General features: G+C 36.7%; 1 protein-coding gene across 7 annotated transcripts in view, besides 1 other annotated feature; it reads right to left on the bottom strand.

Annotated features, from left to right (window-relative positions):
- Positions 1-17,319, bottom strand: part of NNT (nicotinamide nucleotide transhydrogenase) — a 104,722-nt gene that overhangs the window by 61,166 nt on the left and 26,237 nt on the right. For all 7 annotated transcript variants that reach the window (NM_012343.4, XM_005248274.6, XM_017009293.3 and 4 more), the window contains 3 exons: positions 1,906-2,039; positions 1,429-1,620; positions 721-874 (listed from right to left, as the gene is read on the bottom strand). In NM_012343.4, the coding sequence (NP_036475.3) occupies positions 721-874; positions 1,429-1,620; positions 1,906-2,039 (480 nt within the window). The remainder of the gene's footprint in view (positions 1-720; positions 875-1,428; positions 1,621-1,905; positions 2,040-17,319) is intronic.
- Positions 14,650-14,944: an enhancer, noted in NCBI's record as "tiled region #11344; K562 Activating DNase unmatched - State 25:Art". NCBI's record gives its function as "activates a minimal TATA promoter and a strong SV40 promoter by Sharpr-MPRA in K562 cells {active_cell/tissue: K562}" and the evidence as "EXISTENCE:reporter gene assay evidence [ECO:0000049][PMID:27701403]".

Genomic DNA, 17,319 nt, shown 5'->3' with positions numbered 1-17,319 from the left:
ATGTTTATTGTCTGCATATTATTTCACATGCTTTCATTCCAGTATTTAGCACAGTGCCTCTATTTACTGAGTCAATAAATGTAATCTCCAATTCCGTAGAGGTGGGACAAGTAACATGTTGCTGAAAAACCAAGTCTGTCAGGCCCGATTACTAATGGAATCCAAAAAAGACAACAGCATTTCATTTACTAATTTTGACAATTAATATATTACTTGCAGGCCGGGTGCAGTGGCTCACGCCTGTAATCTCAGCACTTTGGGAGGCTGAGGCGGGCAGATCACGAGGTCAGGAGATCGAGACCATCCTGGTTAACACAGTGAAACCCCGTCTCTACTAAAAATACAAAAATTACCCAGGGGTGGTGGTGGGTGCCTATAGTCCCAGCTACTTGGGAGGCTGAGGCAGGAGAATGGCATCAACCCGGGAGGGGGAGCTTGCAGTAAGCCAAGATCGCGCCACTGCACTCCAGCCTGGGCGACAGAGCGAGACTCCGTCTCAAAAAAAAAAAAAAAAAAAAAAATATATATATATATATATATATATATAGAGAGAGAGAGAGAGAGAGAGAGAGAGAGATAGATAGATAGATGTGTAGATATATATGTGTATATATATCTATATATACGTATATATAGCTACACATATATCTATAGATATATATATATATAACTTGCAAAATCAAACAATCAAGACTAAACCCTGGTAAATGGTATCCTCACCTGCTGTATATGCAGAAGCCGTTGACATTGTCTTCCTGAAGGGTGTAATGGTAGCTGCTTTTTCAGCTTCCAGCTCAGCCACTGTCTTCTGTTTTACTGGGGCACCTTGAGGAATATTTTTCGGTGTGGGAGCTGGGAAAATCACTTTACCATCCTAATAGACATTAAAAAATAGTACGTATTAAAAAGTCAATCCAGCATTTCAAAATTGCTTAAGGAATATACTATTTTTTAAAACCCTGTTCTTTTAAATATAATTTTATGTAAATATATAAATTCATATAATTTGTAACATCATTTTACATAAATATGTCACATACATATACAAATACTAATATCCATGTTACATATACAATCATATATATGTAATTTGTATGTGTACAGGACCATATAAGCAAGAGTGCAAATTAAACCCTTGAAAGCAGATAAGTGGGGGGAATGTTTAATTTTTACTTTATTCAATTTGTTTGTTCATCTCCGTTTTTCAAAAGGAGTGTATATTTTTGGTTAAGTCATGTACTTTTAAGTCTTTGAAATATTTTTCTTTAAATCATTCTGCATTTACAAATAATTTTTATCAGCATAAAGCTGGCATACCAATACCTTATTAAAATATGTCTCAATTCCAAAATAGAATTCTTCCATAAACAGAAATTCTAAAACAAATTTACATTAAAAGCAAAGGAAGGAATAGATCTCTTTACTTACTTTCATCACTACAGTTCCTCTAATGACATGACCCATCGTACCAAAGTCAAAGTCATCTTTCACATCAAAATAAAAATTATCTTTGTCCGGGCTGATGGCCTTCAGGAGTTTGGTGATGTTGTTGGAATATAGGGTGCTGGCCTGAGTGGCCATTCGGCTGGGCAGGTCTGTGTAGCCTATGTGAGTAATTCCCTAAATGAACAAAATTATAGTCAAAAAGGTCTATCACCCTATGTTCACATTCATTCTAGAACAATTATCATTCATATTCAATGCTAAGTTTTGTAATTATATATCTTTATGAATATACATACATACCCATAAACAAATACATATTTCAACAGGAGCTTTAAATATGCCTATTTTTAATTTTAAAATTTCAAGCCTTAATGTCTCTAAATATTTAAAGAAATAAACACCCCCCCATAACTCAAGACATGAGAAGTGATCACAGATAGAAAACGCATCTTGCTATACCTTATGAATGTAGAGTTCTCCTGGCTTAGTGGTTTCAAAGTTTCCACCAGCCTCAGCAGCTAAATCCACAACAACTGAACCTTCCTTCATTGACTCAATCATTTCTTTATTAAATAAAACTGGAGCTTTTTTACCTAATAAAATCAAAGAAAGCAGCACAATTTGTATTATCATTTTCTAACACCTTAAAGTCTAATTATTACAGTAGTCTCTGGGCATTCAGGAATTTAACATCTGAAATTTTAACTCTTTCCAAGAGACCCCTAAAGACCATAGCATGGGTGAGACTGGGCATTCAGAAAAATATATGATGAGTGTGAGCAGCAAAGGCAGTGTGCAGGAGGAAGCCATGTGGCTGGCAAGCAGGCCCTGCCATCTGCTCAGCATGAGAATCTCAGCACTGCTCTCCCTACCCGGTTTATACACCACAGCATTCATGAACAGATAAACAGTTTGACTGTTTTTTAAAAAATGCCTAATAATAAACCACTATGGAAACTATATGCACCCAAATTGAACAATTCGTAAAGGTCACCAATGTCAAGAGTACAGTTAATACTAATTTATGAATTACAAAACAGAACATTGCCAATTATCTTAACATATGTCACCAGATTTTCTAACACATCATATTAACCTACCTTAATTTAACACAGAAAACTTTGAGGAGAGACAGGAAAATGCCAATAAATCAAAACAGTGGAATCCTACAACTCCAAAAGGTTTAGGAGTTCCCTCATACACTTTTATTCCCACTCAACAACTATGTATTGGTGTCTACAGTGAGTCAAGCCCTATCTATGCCTGGTGCTGGGAATACAGTGGTAAATAAACAAAAAAAGTCCTTGTTCTCATGGTGTGCATTCTCCTCATTTAATAGTTCACATTTTAAATTCACAATGTCTTTTTAAGAAGTTCACTAATTCTTACATAGAAGATGAAAACCCAGACCTTAGGACTTTTCGAGCTAATATACATCAATATGTTCAACAGGGGCTTATACTGTCAGCATACTATCGTGTTCACATTTCATAAAACAATGGAAATACCTAAATCAAAAGATAACGGAAATAAACTTGTAATGTTAGTAGTATGGAAGTAGAGCATGGCTGGGTGCAGTGGCTCAAGCCTGTAAGCCCAACAATTTGGGAGGCTGAGGTGGGGAGGATCACTTGAGCCCAGGAGTTCCAAACCAGCACATAGCAAGACCCCATCTCTACAAAAATAAAAAAACTTAGCTGGACGTGGTGGCACATGCCTATAGTCCTAACCACCCAGGAGTCTGAGAAAGGAGGATCACTTGAGCCCAGGAACTCGAGGATGCAGTGAGCTATTTTTGCACCACTGCACTCCAGCCGGGACAACAGAGTGAAACTCCATCTCTTTAAAATATACATATTTTTTATAAAAAGAAAGCAGAGCATTAGTAGCCTGATTATCTTTAGTTCTTCTGAAAGCTTTCAATTCTGTGTTTACAGAATTTGATTCAAAAAGGAAAAATAACATTTGTAGTACATGTGGAAATAAAAGGTTGTGAAGATACAAGTGAAGTGTTTATGTAGTACTTCCTTCTTTTTGCTACAAACTGTATAGTTTTGAGATAAAGTCCAAATCCTAAGGCTCCTGGGACTAAATGCCTCTCACCCTGGGTGAAGTGCTTTTTCTAACATGCCCTCTCAAAACTGCACCATTGGACCTTCTTCTATTTCAGCCACACTGGGCTCGCTGCCACATGATTTGTTATAAGATCTCTTGTTCTTTCTTTTGAGTTTCCAAGAAAGAGCAAGAATCAAGAGACATTTTGCCCAGAGACAATACCCTGAAGTGCTGGTAGTTTCACCACTTCTCAAAATTCTCCAAAAGTATTCCTTTCCTCTACCCTCCGTACTGTAATCTAACAAAGGCACCTTGAATACTTAACTAAACTTTACTCAACCATGAGAATTTGAGGAAGCAAACCACATCCATCTGAGGACTATTCCCAAAATAAAGGTCATGCTGCTCGGCTCTCCAGTGACTTAAAGCTATGGATCATATGGCCGCCTCAACATAGAGGGGCGCATTTAAAGGGCTACCTGTACTTTCCAGGTATTTACTGTCATCACCATCCCCACCCTCTAGGGCCAGAGCCTCTTCTCTATTTATCAGCTGTTGTTTAGCACAGCTTTTCCTCCCACCTTATTTGTACCCAACTTTGGCCAATGATTGCACATATTTGATTTGGCATCTAACTAATTTCTCCTGCCCTAGATATGTGAGACTCCTTCTTTCTCCTGAGACATCCATAGCTAAGGATCAGTCCCTGGACTGTATGCTACCACTTTGCAAGACATCAAGTGTCCAAAACCATTTTTAGGCTCCCTAGAAACATCAAAATATACAACCCATTTATCTCCTCTGATTTCACTCATTCAACCTCCACAGAACAACTGTACAGTGGCTAACACAACTTTGAAAAACACATGGACATGTTTGCATCTTAACAGAGATAAGTTGGGTGTTTTGTCCCTATTATTGCTCAGAAATTCAATCACTTTTAAAACAATAGCATATTCTTTCACATAGGTTAACTTATTTGGTGTACAGACTGAAGGGTATCACTATAACAAGTTTAAAATTTTACTTAAGTCACACAAGAAAATTTAAAGACATGGAATTATTATAAGTAAAAAGCACATAACAAAATAGTATGTCAGTTTAGATATATATTTATATACATGAATGTTTCTCATTTATATATACATAGATTAATATTACATAATACAATACATATATGATACAGTTTGTAGTAAATTCTATATCATATAAAATTTAACAAAATCAGGGTATATTTGAGTGGTGAGACTATTTTCTTCTCTGTGCTTTTCCTTATCTCCAAAATGTTTTAATTTTAAAATTAAACGTTTTTAATAAGGGCTACAGGGAATACAGTCATGAATGTAACAGTGCAGCTGCCTTCAAGCACTCACATGTGGATTAATTTTTTGAAAATTCTGGAAAGTGCAGAAATAAAAATTGAAAACAGAAGGGAAAAAAATAAAGCCAAAAAAGAAGCAGAATAGTAAATAAAAGCTCCAGATAAGCAAAACCCCAAAAGAATAAGTCCAGAGAGAGAAAGACTGAGAAGACAATTTCAGAATACTACCTTACCCTGGTAGCCTAATATAATAAAGTATAATGCATAATAAATGCAGCATTACACAATGAAGAACAAAAGTAATATGATGATTAGTTAGGTATCTGGGTAAAAAATATCTACCCAAACCTAATACCATAAGTTAAACTCTAGAAAGATAAGAATTAATTGTAAAAGAAGAGAATCAATCCATAAAATGAAAGAAAAGACAAAAAAGGAAGCCTTGGGGAATATCTCTCCAGTCTGTGGATAAAAAAGCACTTCCTAAATTTAAAGCAATGAAGAAAATTACAAAAGAAAACATCAATAGATATGAAAATATAGATATATATGATGTATATGAAAATGTATATATTATATATGTGTATATATGATATATATGAAAAATGTATATATTACAATTCTCAGACAAAAATTGATGAAAAGCTCACAGAAATTTCAATAAAAACAAAACACTATAATCCTATAGATAAGTGAAAAACAAATACAAATGGAAAATTCAATAAAAACAGTAAAAACAAATAAAAAAAAAGTTCACTCTTAGTATGATGTGGAGAGATCACAGGTGATCTTTATTTTCTACTTTGTACTTTACAGCATCTCCAAAAAAACCACATATCATTTTTATTTTAAAGATAAAATAAAGTACTCCTGGATAATCACAACCAGTTTCTCCTTTAAGTCAAGAAGTGGCAGTTTAAAAGTTGGTACTAGGAGAACTAGAAGAATTTAGAAAAACCCCAACCTACTTACTTACCAATTGAAAAGCCTGGCTCAAAGTCACCTGCCCTCCCTTCTACAACAAATGAAGCTATGCGGTTAGGGCAGTCTTTCAAGGAGTGTACCAAAACACAATAAAGGGAGACATGGGCATAACTAAACATGGAATACAAACAGGAAGATGTGTCCGGATTTTGTACATGTATAACATGGAAATGAATATATCCAATGTTTACAAATTCTTCAAATATAAAGAGATGCCCTCTACACCCCAGAGACAGCTTGGTGAAAGACCTAGATATAAAAGAGAAAATAAGCACATCTTTCTGACAAAGGCTGATAAAAAAGAAAATAATAATGAGCACATCAGGTATTTTTAGACATAATTGCAAAAGAAACAGGAAAATTAATAAAAGAAGGCAGATGAGAGGCATTTTTAAAGCCCAATTGGGCTTTAACTTTTCTATTAATTTTATCATTTATCTGCAAAAGATGAGATACACAAAAAGATCATTATATTTCCTAAACCAGCCCGCTTAAAAAAAAAATCAGTCACTGTGACAGAATAAAATTAACAAGGAGAGAAAATTTTAAGAAATATTTTCTGACACAATACCAACTGTGGGTGAAGGATTTGGCATGATATCCAACTTTATGAAATATTTCTTGCTCCCTTCTGGTTCATGGACATTAAGTTCCCCTGGAAGGGTTACTCAGTTCCCTCTCAGAGGGACTTATTTCCACACTTTTGCCAAGAAAACTGTAGGACATCAAGCTCTCACAGTCATCATTCAAATATTCATTCATTCATTGACATAATTAATACTTATTTAGTGCCTCCCATATGCAGGGTGGATGGAGGAAGAAAAATTTTACTTAGGCTCTAGAGTCTAATATTTTACAACTAAAAGTGGCTGCATTCAAAGGTTGGTCAACAATTTTATTACTAGAAGAGTTGGATATTTAAAGCACTCATGTAAAAATTTGAATTATAGTTTCCCAATTGGTTGGCAGTTATTTGGAGTGAATAAGTGTACCACAGGTTAGTGTAAGGCATCCTTGAATCTCCATGTGCACCATGAATTGACTGTAGACTGAAAAACTGCCTCATGCATGTGTTCTATTTATTGATATATGCACATATGGCTGTGATTCACGTAAATTCATTTTTAAATGTTACTGAATTCACAGTATCTTTTCTCAACCATGTATTTTCTCAATAAATGAATACTAAGATGCAATTTTGAAAGTATTAAAATAAGGAGCTGCTAGAAAAACTAAGTTCTGCTTTTTTGTTTTTTCTCATCTGTGACTGGAGAAAAAATTACTAATTTCTAAAAATGGCTTTAACAACTCATTGCTATGTAGCAAAAGAATATATCATTGGCTTCTTTACAGCACTAAATTCAAAAAGAGTCACACAGCTTAAATTAAATACCAAAGACTAAAGATTTACCAGAAAATTCTGTAATATATTGTATCTTTTTGAATGAATCAGGCCTAACATGATCATCTGAAATCAATAAATTCCCAGATTCTATCTTAATGGGAAAAGAACCAAGCCCTCACACTCTAATCATACCAAAAAGAAAAAATTAATTAATTAATTAAGAAGAAACCACTAAAAATATTTAAAATAACAAGACATGAAGATGAAATGGGTTTACCACAAAATTTTATAATGATTCCAAGGAGCATTCAGCATCATTTACTGGAATTACTCAACAGCATGTAATCAGATGGGGAAATTCCTAACTTCCTGACCTGTAAGGCATCAAATTAGAGGGTCTAAAAAAAAAAAAAAACAAAACTTTCTGCTTTAACAAAAACATGAGATATTTAGCTCCACAGTAGCAAATAAATAATATGAATTATAGAATCTATTAATCCAAACCAAAATAGATTTCTCATGAACAAGTACTAGGCAGACAAGGACAGTTTTTAATGTAATGTAGTCTCTATATTGACTAAATGTAAAATAGAGCAGGTAAAGAAAGATAGGCTGAACTTTATCATTTACACAGTAAGAACCTTCATTATAACAACATAATGTTGCACTGAGTATTGTTAGTATCTACTCAGTATCCATTTCCTCCTTTTATCACTATGCTGATTTTCATTTTTCCACCCAGTCCACAAGCTTCAGGAGACATGACTTCAGAAACCACTTGTATTAGTCTGATCTCACGCTGCTATAAATTGCTGGCCGAGACTGGGTGATTTATAAATGAAAGGGGTTTAATTGACTCACAGTTCTGCAAGGCTGGGGAGACTTGAGGAAACTTACAATCATGGCAGAAAGGGAAGCAAACATGTTCTTCACATGGCAGAAGCAGAAAGAAATGAGTGCCCAGTGAAGGGGGAAGCTCCTTATAAAACCATCAGATCTCATGAGAACTAGCTCGCTATCACGAGAACAGGATGGGGGAAACTGCCCCCTTGGTTCAATTCTCTCCACCTGGTCCTTCCCGTGATACGTGGGGATTATGGGAACAACAATTCAAGATGAGATTTGGGTGGGGGCACAACCAAATCATATCACCACTCCAGAGGCAGGCCTGGAAGGCCTAAGGGTAATCTTATCACCTTATTAGTGACTGGTTCAGAAATCCAGGTGTAAGCCGAGGTGCATCTCATTGCCCTACCTACAAGGATTGGTTCAGAAATGGTCATAAATCAATCAAGGTTAATATAAATGAGGGAAAATGTGCTAAGGATTTCTGAAAAAGAAGTTTCCTTCTTTTTGCTCTTCAAGAGGGTGCCATCAGCACTGGACTACCTCCTCTAGATATTGTGTTGTACACACTGGAGCCTGAAATTGTTGCTGCCTTCTGCACAGCACTGAGGATGAAGCCAACTCAGAGAGGAAAGCATGAAGGAGCACAGTCAGAGTGTCCCAGCCCACACCTATCCACAGCTATAACTGGACTACGTTCTGTTAACAGAACCCAAGAAATCACCTACCTTAAGGCAGGTTGTATTAGAATTTCTGTTTCTGGCAGCTAAAGGCATCCTAATGGATCCATACCAAAATCTCTTTTAGCATTTCAAAATCACTGATGGGGTTAAAGTACTGAGTCTTAAGCTTTTAAAATGTTACCAATGATAACAAAAGGGTTTTTATACATATATGTATGCATGTGAGAATAAGAAATGATAGATTATGTAAAATATAGAATATGGCAAGAAAGTGCTGAACATCTAATCCACTGATCCATTATCTAATGAGTCTCTGATTTAGCTGGCTCCATAGTACATACAGCAACCCCTCTACTCTGTTTATCACAGATATGAAAGCTGTGTTCATGAGCCTAAAGAGATTCTGGCCCAAGCTTAAACAGTCAAGCAGAGTACTTTATATGTGAGCTTTATCCCTGGAACCACAGGAAAACTTTGTCTGCATAATTATTTGTATAAGGAACCAGACAGAAAGTCAGGCTGGCAAATAGTTGGCTTTTACAAACTGGACCCCTTGAGATATTTCTAAATGTAATACTTCTGAAATATGATTAGTCAACAGCATATTTTAGAAAATTAGAAAAATTCCTAAAGATCTATTTAAAGAAGAAACCTAAACACAAGCTTTTACCTCATAATTAAAGAACATGTTTATAAAAATTTTGAAAGGATTAACTTAATAATTTACCTCTCATAGCTGCAAAATTCTGTATAAATAAAAAGCAAAATTAGTCAAGATTTTACCATGGTTTCACAGGTTACAGGAATTCTCCAAACTTAAATGGTAGCACAAATAAGGAAATATACATTCTCATAGAAACTATAGCATTCTTTGAATTCTCTCCAACATATGTATAGATGTACATTAGCTACCAAAATCCTTTAAAAATTGAAGCAATAAAATTGTATTACGCATTCTGATGTTATTATTTTGTTACTACAAAAGAATTTAAAAGTGTTTTAAAAAATAGAAACAGTACTGCTTATTTTCTTTCTCACGTCTTTCAACTTAGGTCAGAATGAGGTTAACTGGGAAAACAGCCTTAATAAAATGGATATCTTCAGCAAATTCATATCAAAAACAATTAAGTCATGTTTCTCCCCAGGGAAACCCATGCCACATTGCCATCCAATAAATACTGGTTATGTAACTTCATGGGTGGATTCATGAGGCACCATCTTCAATGGTCCACATAATCCTTGAGAATGTCTGGACTTTTATTGCAAAAGTCAGTAAGATTTGTGTCCTGGGTACCATCCAGAAGACGAGGCATCGCCAATGGAAGAAAGAATTACAATAATGTTCTCTATGCCCAGCCCTACACTGGGCTTTTTCTTCATTCCTCAAAACAACTTTGCAAGGTAGAAATTTTTATCCACATTTCAGAGATAAGGAATCTGATATTCAGAGAGACAAATCAGCTGTTAAGTAGTGGAACCAGAATTTTAATCTACTCTATCTGGCTCTAAATCTATGACCCTTCCTCTGTTTTCCAATGAACAGATTAAACATTAACACATAAAATTACAAAGTAGAGAAGAGGAAAGAGGCTGTTAGCTGTGCACAAAAATCTACATTTGTTATGGGCTGAATTGTGGCCACTGCAAAATTCCTATGTTGACGCCCTAACCCCCAATACCTCAGAATATGGCTGTATTTAGAGACAGGGCCTTTAAAGAGGTGATTACGTTAAAATGAGTCTATTAGGGTGGGCCCTAGGACAATCTGACTGGTGTCCTTAAAAGGAGAGGAAATTGAAGCATAAAAAGAGAAACAAGGAATGCACACACACAGAGGAAAGACCATGTGAGGACACAGCAAGAGGGCAGCCAACCACAAGCCAAGGAGAGAGGCTCAGAGGAAACTAACCCCACAGACACATTGACCTTATACATCTATCCTCCAGAACTCTGGGAAAATAAATTTCTGTTGGTTAAGCCACTAGGTCTGTGGTATTTTGTTATGGCAGCCCTAGCACACTAATACAATGTTCTCTTATTCCTGGGCACAGAGCTAGACAATTCCCAGCTTCCTTCACAGTTAAGTTTGGCCACATGACTAAGTCTTAGCAAAAGAATGCAAAGCAAGAATGATGTGTACCACTTCCTGGCCTTCCATGCACACTCCTCCATCCCACTTTCCCTATAGCTGGCTTAAATAGAGACAGTCCCAGAGCAACCTTCATAGCCTCATAATGATGATGGCAACACTGTCCTAACCCGAATCCCAAATGACCATATGAAAAAGAGCTGCCCATCAATATGTGAACCTATCTATTACTAAGCAAGATGTTAATTTCTGTAACATCAGAGCCATTATGCATTGTTGGATTAATCTGTTATAGCAAAACTCATAGATTTAGGGCTAGACCACCCTAACTAATACTGAAGCACAAGAAACTATAAGGAAAATGGAAGGAAGGAGATACAGCAATGCATATGGTAGGGAAGTACTAGTACATTAGCAGTAACGCTATTTGTGCTGCTTTGCCAAAGACAGCCTCAGTCTCCCAATCCTTTACAACCCAGGGAAAGCCAGGAAGGAAGCATAATGCATACCAATATTGCAACATGCTTTTGGAGAAATAACAAACCAAACCAAAGTATAACGATGCCATAAATTTTCCTAACAGAACATTTGTTAAATCTGGCCCAGTCACTCACAAAGTGTGCTCAAATACACCCTAAGAACAAGACTGATAAATAGCAATGGAAAACTTCACAGTTTTGGCATCTTCCACTTGAGGACAAGTTGCTCTATCTGCATTGAAAGCTACGAAGAGGTGTGTAGACAGCCTGTGGTTACCAACCCTTGATGTTGCAACACTTAAGTTTCTCTCTGTTCTTCAAAATGTCTTCAATATCCTCAAAACAAATGAAACTTTATATAACAATATTACAAAAGTCTATATAATCATAAAATACATTGAAGGGAAGGAATTACCGAACATGAATCAGATAACAAAAAAAGTAATATAAAAGAATTGGGAATAACTGATCTATAGCATATAGTTTTGTCCTTTATGATCATAATGCATACAGAATAAGAAAATGAATAATAAATCCTTACTTTTGGGAAAAACTTTAGTCATCAAAAACAATATTTCTTTGTGGAATTACACAACTAGAGAGTATAGTTATTCTTGTATCAATCACTCTCTTGCCCGAAAGCACAGGTTTCAACAATTACTATGGAAAGTCATTCTTTTGCGCTATATTTCCACTCCATATGAAAGATAAATTTAACAAGACAGATGGAGAACAAAGCAACATCTCAGGTTCATATATGTAAGGAACTTGCATATTGGAGGAAAACACCTCCCACCCAATTCTCCAGAGACATGGAAAATTACCACAGAAGTCCACATCCTTTGAGGGGTGTATTTTACAGATCCTAACAAGTATAGATAAAAACAAAAAGTATGGCCACCCTAATCTGGATTGTGCCTAAAAAGAGACACAAGTACATATGGCATAAGGTATTTTAATTTACAATCAAGCAATGAATATGTTCCTTCCTCTCTGACAGGACACTTTCTAATTCCCAAACAGCCCTTCCACTACTTCCTAATTCTATCTCCTGAGAGGTCTAGCTAGCCAGCCACCTCAAACTGCAGACTGGGCATGTGTTCCAGTTTTGAATAATTTAAGAAAGTTAAGTTCCCAAGCTTAAATTAGCCTCTGCAATGTTCCTATCCAAAAGTGAACCAACAGAGTGTTCTATAAGAATTTGGGGACAGCACTGAAAAAAATGAAAGGAACTGTACCAACCAAGACCTAAGGAAGGTATCCAGAATTATTAGTTCAGCAACATTTGCTAAGCCACCATTGTGTACAAACCACTATGCCAAGCGCTGGCATAAATCAAAGACTCCTGCTGCACTCACTGGGAGACAAGATAACTGAGGAATGATGGGACTAAGCACTGCTGTAATAGGAAGAACAAGCAAAGTTCTTTGAGTGCAGAAAAAAGAAAAAAGAACACTACTGCTGAGCAGGAGGCAATAGAAACTATGGAGGATGTAGTAATTGAGTTGAGTAGGATTTCAAAAAGCAGGGAAGGGCAAGGATAGTATTCCAAAGAGAAGGAGCAATATGTGCAAAGGCAAAAAAGTATCTTGGCCCATTTGAGGAGATAATAGCAGTCAACATGGCTGAAATCAGGCCCAGAGAATAAGATATTAGTTTAACACCAGACCCAAAAGCTAAATCAGGACCAGATAATGAAAGCCAAGAAATACCTCCAAGGAATGCAAACTTTATACCACAGGTAATTGGGGAGTGGGAGACTATGATCCAACTCTGTTCAGTTTAGATGGCTTGTTTCATCTAATGATGCTGGGAACCCAAGTCGCCCAAGCTACTGTCATCATTGCTAAACAAAAACCCAGGCCTTAGAATAGCTATGGTTCCCCTAAATTAGTAAGGACTAGACCTGAGGTGGGAAACGGGAGAGCTGGGAAGGTATAGGACTTAGCATGTGCTCCATAGTTCTCTTCATTCTCATTGGAACTTAGGTGAAATTTGCCCAAGACACAGTCAGTGCAAAATCACCATGATTCCTTCTCACCCCACACCATACTCCCCTCCCCAACGTACTTATCAGATTTTCAACCTGATTCAGTCCCTTCCTGATTAACTATTCTATGTCTATGAAAAGTTTCTCTAAAAGGGTTTCAGATCACTAGGGATGCTAAAAAATCCTGTGTCTCAAAAGGCTTAGCAGAAAAGATTATGAGCACAGCCTGAACATTACCAGACAGCAGGGCTGCCTTACTTTTTAATGGTAGCCCCAAAGGTCAACGAGCTGGACAGGAAAGTAGAGAGCTTTTCTTTGTGTGCACAGCACCACAAAGCGGGGCTGTCAGCTTGGCCCCATCCTCAAGTTACCTGCATTAAGTGAAATTCTCACCTTTAACCCATCACTCAACCCAATAGGGGGGTGAGATGACGGTTTAAGATATCAGGCAGCATAACAACTAGCTAGCTACAGAACTATCTCATTCCACATACAATCTACGTAAGTACAAGTTCATTGTTTTTTCAAGACCACCAAGTGACGTATACCTAGGACAATAAAAATTTACTAACTCCGTAAAGTTGCTCCCTGAAACTAGTTACTTACCTGTGTCTGCCTCTCAACATTCTTATCCACACCAGGCCTTCAGTCCAGCCTTCCAGGGATCTCAGTCTATAAATCTTAGCTTAGAGAATTTCTGACATTTGACTTAATCCCCTTTGAATCCACTCAAGGAAAACTTCAGAACAATTTCTGCTCTGAGGGTCATTCAAGAGTCAGATACATCATCAGGGGACCCAGGCAAAGGCTCAGGACATAAACCAGTAAAGGTATAATGCCAAGGATATTGTTTTCCAAAGGGCATTTGTACCTTCATGTACTCTTTCAGTCATTTTTGTTAAATGCTCATGCTTTCCGTTTTCAGTGCCCCAGAGATAGGAAAGATCTTTAGAAAAATCACCTTCTTCCATATAATATTCTAATTCACTTTTTTCTTTCTTCCCTTTTTTTTTTTTTTTTTTTCCCAAAAGAAACTGAAGGCCTTTTTCAGCCAGCCTTTTGAGGGTGAGCTCTGGGCTGAGGTACTGATCAAGGACTTTCTGTAAATTTAATGTTCACATTAATCTTCAGATCGTGGCTTCAGAAAACAAGAAAGGCTTAGTGGAACAGATTAATAAAACTTCTTCAACTAGTCTTCAAGACTGTCATACAGTCTGACCTTTTACTAAAGTATGCTAACTATAAACTACTTATAAAAAATAAAATATTATGGGGAGAGGGGAAGGCCCTGAAAGTCAGTATGTGTTTATAAAATAAATCTTGAGTACTATCACTGACATCTAGCTCTGTAATCAATAATAAATCTATATACTCTATTCAAATTATCCCTAGCTCTTTAGAGTATGAGTTGACTAAATAAAACTAGCTTCCTATCCACATGGCTTACTCCATGAGTAAATGTTTTAGCACCCTCTACTGGCCACTTGTTACATCTAATCCTCTCATAACTTCCCCGCTAATGCGCAGCTGCCTCTCAGAGGTCAGATGGTGGCTGCAGCATATGTCACCCCATTCCTTCCTCAGAACCACCTGTGAAACAGCTGAGCCAGGAGCCACTGCCACACAAGGAAAGGATGAATCCTGAAGTGCTCTCCTGACACTGCTTGTGCCTGAGTTATGTCTTCACTGACAGATTTCACAAACACTATCCTGGGTCCGGGGTTTGTCTGATCTGCATGCACCTCCAGAAACCAACCACAGGCCTCATTCCTACACTTACAGATGCTCCCATTGCCTGAGCCCTGCCGAAACCCCCATATCAGACTCCTACCTGTCTGCTTCATCTAGCCGCTCTGGGGGGATGCGGTTATCTGGAGAGACGAGCTCACCTATCACCTGGGTTAACAGAGGACAGAAAGAAAAACACATTTGGAAGGCTTGTTTTCCCCAACAAGCTCACAGATCTGATGCCAATCAATTCTTTGTCCTTGGGTTTATATTAGCCAGGTTTTTTGTTGTGGGGGAAGCTACTGGAGGAGAGTTTCTCCTCTTTCATAGCCTCATGACAAAGCAAATTCTAATTCTCCACAGCACCTCAGAGAAAGTGAGGCTCCTTCACTAGGATCTAACATAAGCAACCAAGAACCCTTTAAGCTCTCATTATATGACCCACTTTCTTTCAGAAAGGAAAAAATTAGAGTCAGTATGGTATTCATTATTCAATAACAAAAGGAAAGGATAGGTGAAGAGAAGAGGTGAGACTATAAAAGGTGGACAGTTTCTTCACTCCCAAATCTTGTTAGATCAAGCTACTGCTTACTGATTAATAAACACTTATTGGTTTGACATCAGTCATGCACTGAGTACAAAATACTCTTTAGAAGGAGATTTGTAAAGGGACTAGAAAGTAATTCCTACCATCAAAAAGCTCACAATTTGGCTGAAAACATGTCAAAGGAAATAATTTAAAACTGACAAAGGGTCATTCCCATAAGTAAAAATATACACTGAAAATTCCATAAATACATATACATACAAAGTCCCCTCTCTCTCACATATATAGAAAAATATGATCAAAATATTAATAACAGTCATCTCTCTGGTAGAACTTCAAATGATCTGTATTTTTTTTCTTATTTATCACCACAGTTTGAATTTCCTACAAGGAGAAGGTAGTATCTTAACAAAGAAAATGTAAATAAATTAACAATCAATTTATCAAGGGTTTGAGCAGAGGAACCTGCTTATGAATATAATATTGTACATACATCAAGCAATGGTGCTGGGATAATTGGCAAGCCACATGCAGAAGAATGAAGCTGGATCCTCACCCCTCACCTTATACAAAAATTAACTCAAAAATGGATCAAACACTTAAATCTAAGACCTGAAACGATAAAAATTCTAGAACATAACATCAGAAAAACTCTTCTAGACACTGGCTTGGGCAAAGAGTTCATGACCAAGAACCAGAAAGCAAATGTAACAAAAACCAAGACAAATAGATGGCACTTAGTTAAACTAAAAAGCTTTTGCACAGTAAAAGAAATAATCAGAGTAAACAGACAACCCAGGATGGGAGAAAATTTTCACAAACTATGCATCTGACAAATGACTAATATCCAGAATCTACAAGGAACTCAAACAAATCAGCAAGAAAAAAATAAATAATCCCATCAAAAAGTGGACAAAGGACATGAATAGACAATTATCAAAAGAAGATATACAAATGGCCAACGAACATATGAAAAAATGCTCAACATCACTAATGATCATGGAAATGCAAATCAAAACTACAATGAGATACCACCTTACTCCTGCAAGAATGGCCATAATTTAAAAATCAAAAAATAACTGATGTTGGCATGGATGTAGTGAAAAGGGAACACTTTTACACTGCTAGTGGGAATGTAAACTAGTACAACCACTATGGAAAGCAGCATGGAGATTCCTTAAAGAACTAAAGTAGAACTACCATTTGATTCAGCAGTCTCACTACTTGGTATCTACCCAGAGGAAAAGAAGTCATTATATAGAAAAGACATTGCATACACATGTTTATAGCAGCACAATTCACAGTTGCAAAAATATGAAACCAGCCTAAATGCGCATCAACCAACGAGTAGATAAACATACATATACATATATACACACACCATGGAATACCACTCAGCCACAAAAAGGAACAAAATAATGGCATTCACAGAAACTTGGATGGAGTTAGAGACCATTATTCTAAGTGAAGTAACTCAGGAATTAAAAACTAAACATTGTTAAAAGTGGAAGCTAAGCTATGATATAATGGGCTTTGGGGACTCAGGGGTTAAGAGTGGGAGGGGGGGTGAGGGATAAAAGACTAAACATTGTGTACAGTGTATACTGCTCAGGTGACAGGTGCACCAAAATCTCAGAAATCACCACTAAAGAACTTTTCTATGCAACCAAACACCACCTGCTCCCCAAAAGCTATTGAAGTTGTTTAAGTTGCAGAGAAAATAATAGTAATAATAATCTTTTCTAAATAAATGGCGTTTTATTCTTCGGAAAAAAAAAAAAACATTGTACACACAGTATAATCTAT

Source organism: Homo sapiens, chromosome 5 (assembly GCF_000001405.40).
Source record: "Homo sapiens chromosome 5, GRCh38.p14 Primary Assembly".
Lineage (NCBI taxonomy): Eukaryota > Metazoa > Chordata > Mammalia > Primates > Hominidae > Homo > Homo sapiens.
This window is presented reverse-complemented; position numbering and strand designations above follow the sequence as displayed.